The sequence below is a fragment of the Homo sapiens genome, chromosome 13 (genome assembly GCF_000001405.40).
Source record: "Homo sapiens chromosome 13, GRCh38.p14 Primary Assembly".
NCBI classification, from domain to species: domain Eukaryota; kingdom Metazoa; phylum Chordata; class Mammalia; order Primates; family Hominidae; genus Homo; species Homo sapiens.
In genome coordinates, this window is record NC_000013.11 from 105,172,855 (window position 1) to 105,178,173 (window position 5,319).

General features: G+C 34.5%; 1 annotated feature.

The window, feature by feature from the left end:
* Nucleotides 4,508-4,557: an enhancer, noted in NCBI's record as "active region_7979". NCBI's record gives its function as "activates an Ori minimal core promoter by ATAC-STARR-seq in GM12878 lymphoblastoid cells {active_cell/tissue: GM12878}" and the evidence as "EXISTENCE:reporter gene assay evidence [ECO:0000049][PMID:35858748]".

A 5,319-nucleotide genomic window follows, 5' to 3' on the forward strand; every position in this document is an offset into this window, starting at 1 on the left:
AAACTAAAGAGCTTCTGAACAGCAAAGGAAATGATCAGCAAAATCAAAAGGCAATCTTTGAATGGAAAAAATATTTGCAAATCATATATCTGATACCTGATAAGGGGCTAATATCCAAAATGTATATATAAGAAACTCATACAGCTCAACTGGAAAAAAGCCAAATAATCTGATTAGAAAATGGGCCAAAAAATATAATTGACATATTTCCTAAGAACAATAAATGACCAACAAGTACACGAAAAGGTGCTCGACAACCTCACCTATTATCAAGAAAGGCAAATCAAAACCACATCGAGGTAACACCTCACAACTGATAGGATGGCTCTTATCAAAAAGAGAAATGATAACAAGTATTGGCAAGAATGTTGGGGAAAAGAAATCATTGTGCACTGTTGGCAGGAAGGTAAATTGGCACAGCCATTATGGAAAGCAATGTAGAGTTTCCTCAAAAGATTAAAAATAGAGCTACCATATCATCCAGTAATTCTACTTCTAGGTACGTATCTACAAAAAACAAAATCAGTAGCTCAAAGAAATGTTTCTACTCTCACATTCATTGTAGCATTATTCACAATAGTGAACATAATAAAACAACCTAAGTGTCCATTGACAGGTAAACAGATAGATACATGGTGAGATATATATATACATACATACACACACACACATATATATACATATATATGCATATATATATGTATATAGTTCAGATATAGTTCAGTTCAGCTACAATAAAGAAGGACATCTTGAGATTTTGGAACAACATGGATGAACTTTGAAGGCATTATGCTAAGTGAAATAAGTCAGACAGAAAGCAAATACTGTATAAATCCTACATGTGGAATCTAAAAAAGTCAAACTCATAGAAACAGAGAGTAGAATGATGGTTTCCAGGTATTGGAGGATGGGAGGAACGATGAGAGGTTAATCGAAGGTTACAAACTTCCAGTTATAAGATAAGTAAGTTCTGGGGATCTCTTGTACAGCATAGTGACTACAGTTAAAAATACAGTATTGTGTATTTGCAGTTTGCTAAGAATGCCAATCTTAAATGTTCTCACCACAAAACAAACAAACAAAAAAAACAAAAAAAGATAACTAAGTGGGATAATACAGATGTAAACTAACTTGAATGTGGTAATCATTTCACAGTATTATGTATATGTCAAAATTATTATACACATTAAACTTGCCTAATTTTATTCATCAATTAGATCTCAACATAGCTGGAAAAGAGGGAAGCAGCAAAAAGAAAGGAAAAAGTATGCCATATCTCTAATATAAATATAAGTATATTCTGTAAATCATGAAGAGTGATTATTTTCAGAAATCACAGACTTTCTTAAAACTTCAATATTCAGTGAGAAGAAAACATTAAAATATTTTTAGGCTATTGGAATTGAAAAATGAATAGATACTTAAATAGTGTATATATTTAGCAGGCATAACTTATGTCCTTTGAGCAAAAATTGTAAAAGCCACTATATATGTTACCAACGGTCTCCAATATTTAGGTTGCTAAACATAGAGCACGAGCTTTATATAAACTTTAGTTTCCCATACTTTATATTATGTCTATTTTATCTTCTCTCCTTGCCTTACCCAGAAACATTTCTTAATAGAATAATTTCAGAAGCTACATAAGGGCAAAAAAACTTTGATGTTTTTTCTCCTCCACACGGGAACAAGAGAACTCAAAGTATTGGTCACATGGTCACATATGTTATGGTAATTACTCCTGCAAAAAATTATTGCAATCTCTTTTTCCAAAGAGTGGATGGCATTATTTGTCATCAAAATTGGGGGAAAAGTAACTTGAAAGCATAGGTTCTATGAAGATATTTTATTCCATTATACCTATATAAATTTAAATGAGTAATACATTTTGTATTTTCCAGTAACCAAGCATAAAGTAATGAACAACAAGATGTCAAAGGGTTATACCTTACTACAGTAGTTTTCTTGATTATTTATACGAGAAGATGATTGGATATTAATGTGATTATTAAAAACAAAATATTGTTTGACTTATTTTGAATACAGCATCAGATATTTATTGGCAAAAAAACATTCTGTATTGTTCTTAAGCATTTCTATTTAGTAAACTTAGTTTGCAGAGACTTTCACCATGTCACAGTATGTGTATGTGACAAAACGGGAAATGCTAGAAAAATGTATTACTATTGGTTTGTGAATGAGTGTGTAAGAGAGAGGGTGCAGGATGCTGAAAGATACACAGCAAATTCAATAAATAAGCTGTTTATTTTAAATACTCCCCTTATTACCATAAAGTAAATTAAGAAACATTGAAATAACCTAGCTGTTCTTACATCCTGCTTTTCTTAATGTATTGTCTCAATATCACTTTCAAATAAAGATGTTTGAAATAGTGTCTGCAATCTACATTTTTGATCTGCCTAAATAGCTGCTGGCTTCAGCAGAACATTAATGCAAATCTAATGTACCTGCTGGTATGATTAGCTGAATCAAATGATGGCATTTAAGTAACACCTAAATAATCTTAATTAGGATCTTCAACTCATCTTACCACTTAGAACTCTACAGATGGATAGTCTTAATTATCAGCCTTTTGATTAGGATAACAGCCCTAATCAAGATGATGTGGGCCTGATAGACAGAGTATCAGTAAATTAATGACTGCTGTTAAGTGGGAACATAAGCAAAAAATATAGAGCCGCTTTCTGTGAGAGACAGGGTGATGTCTATGCAAGGAAATTTAAATTGTTAGCAAAAAGATCAGAGCAAATAATTGTAAATTGGGATTAATGTTATTATATCAGATGTATTTGAGCCCTTATTTTCAACATGATTGTACTGCATGATTACATTAATGTAGCATTTTCATAAAAATGACAGTGCAGGTTATTTTTACAAATGTTTCTAAGTTCAGTATTGGTAACCTGGTAAACTTCATAGATTTGAAATATGTTAACCAAAACTATTGGAAATAGATTTCTTATGATAGAAATTATGAGATAATTAAATGAGATGCAGAAAAATTTTAAATATTTTTGCTTACTTGTTTCTCTAGAAATAGTATCTTTTCTGAATTTTAACTTTCCAAATTACCAACTGCCTGATTAATTAGGCATAAAGCACTATGAAAGAGTGTTTTCTTGTAGTCGGACAAGGACTCCTTGATTTTGAAGTTCTCCTAGTATTTAACACATGAGAAAACAAAACAAGCATTGTATTTACATACTTCGTGTGGGACTGTGAAGTGATGTAGCATTGATTTAAAGAGGGCCTTCACTTATTTTCATTACATATGTGACCATACTAGATTTTCAGCATGAAGGCTGTTGTAGCATTCTGGCTTTTGCCAAAAAAACTTTCCTTAAGGCTCAGTCCCAGTCCTCTGTTTCTGGTGTCTCATCTAAATTTCTCCTCCATCACTGCTACCTCCTCACTCATATTTACAGATCATTCCTGGCATGTTCCTCCTCTCTCTCTCTCTCTCTCTCTCCTCCCTCTCCTCTCCTCTCTATCTCTCCTCTCTCTTCTCTCTCTCCTCTCTCTCTCCCTCTTTCTCTCTCTCTCTCCCCCTCCCTCCCTCTCTCTCTTTTCTGCCCTCCCTTCTGTCTAGCATGATTTCTATTTAGACTAGTGAATCTTCACAGACACCCCTGCCTTTCACTGAATAAACATTTAAGTTTAGATTCAGAATTCACATTTTGGAACTGGAAATGTTGATAAAGGTGACATCATAAGTTAGACACACTGTTATTTCCTAGTGTCAGTAAGTGAGGAGGGCTTGAGCCTATCCTTGGCTGAGAGGAAGAGAAAAGCAGCACATTGATTACTGTTCAGCATTATATGCATTAAAGATACATATAATGCATTGGCTGGGGGATGAGGAATTCACCAGGTGTTTGCAAACTGTGTCAAATAATGCAGGTTTCAAAGAACAGTGTTTATTATTTTGTGTTTAAATACTTTATCCTTATAATGATAATACTTTATCCTTATAAATGATAATAGTAGTAGTAGCATATAATAATTATGTGTGTCCGACCATCTGTTGGGCACTAATACATACAATGAGAGACTTCTCCATGCAGAAACACAAACACTTCATCTGCTAATTTATTCGCTGATTTATCTAGATTCTTGAGAAAGGAAAGCTGTAGAAACACTGCCTCAGAATCCAATGTCACTGCAGAGTCTGGAGTCACCCACTTCTCTGACCTCAGAGTCTTCCATGTCATTAACAAGCTTCCTTTCATATACCTACCTACTAAATGTTTTTCGAAATTCTGCCCTGTGTGTTTTTCCTATGACAAAACTCTGCTTTCATAATCTCATCTCCTCAAAATAGTTGATAGTTATTTCTTTGTACCTGAGTATCTTCAACCCTGACACCTTTCTGTTTCCTCCACCTATACACCCAAATGCCTTGCAGATATTCCTATCTGGGTATAGTCTTATGACTATAAATCTAAATGTATTAAATTTCTTCTCATCATTATGTTCCCATCATTCAGGTCCAGATCCATGCAATCTTGTTTGCTGTCTTCCCCTCACTGTTTATCTGCAGAAAATTACCAAGGCCTCCTAACTCTGTCTCATACTTGTTTCCTGTTTCTCTTTCGTTATCCCCCACTGCTGACTGTTCATGCCCTGCCACATCATGTCTTCTTCATCTTATCTCTATCAAGCTTCCCCATGGTATTTTCTTCCCTGACCTGTCCTTCATTTAATAAAGTTCAGCTATCGCAAATGGAATCAACCACCCCATATGGGAAAGGAATGGAATTTTTGCAACTGGAGCAGACAAAGAGCAAAGTTATCTTTGACTAAATCTAGTTCAGTACTGTCTGGAGACACTTGCCCAACATTGTCTGGCTATTGAGGAAGCTCATCTCCCACTTCCCCATTCCTCCTTATCTAGAGATAGGTCAAATTCGCTCTACCCATTTCTACTTCTGGAATGCACACTCAGACTTGGCACCCACCTACAATGCTCAACTCTGCTTATTACCAGCTCTTTCAATTCCATTCCAGTCTCTGGAGAGTCTCCAAGTTTTTAGGTGCCTTTCTGACCATCTGGTTTCACTTTTGAATTTTGTTAGGTATAGCTAAGCTTTTCCCAGGATATTCTTATTTCTATATATTGTCTCTTTTTCAACTAAAGGCAAGAATATTTCCTGACCACCTGCTGCCTCAAGTCTGATTGTATCTTAATCGTTATGTCATTGGAGAAGTTATATCTAGTTGTGACATATCTGATGATATTTAGTCCTGATTAACTGCTATATTCCTTCACTATTTTCATTTATTTTTTATTCATGAGTT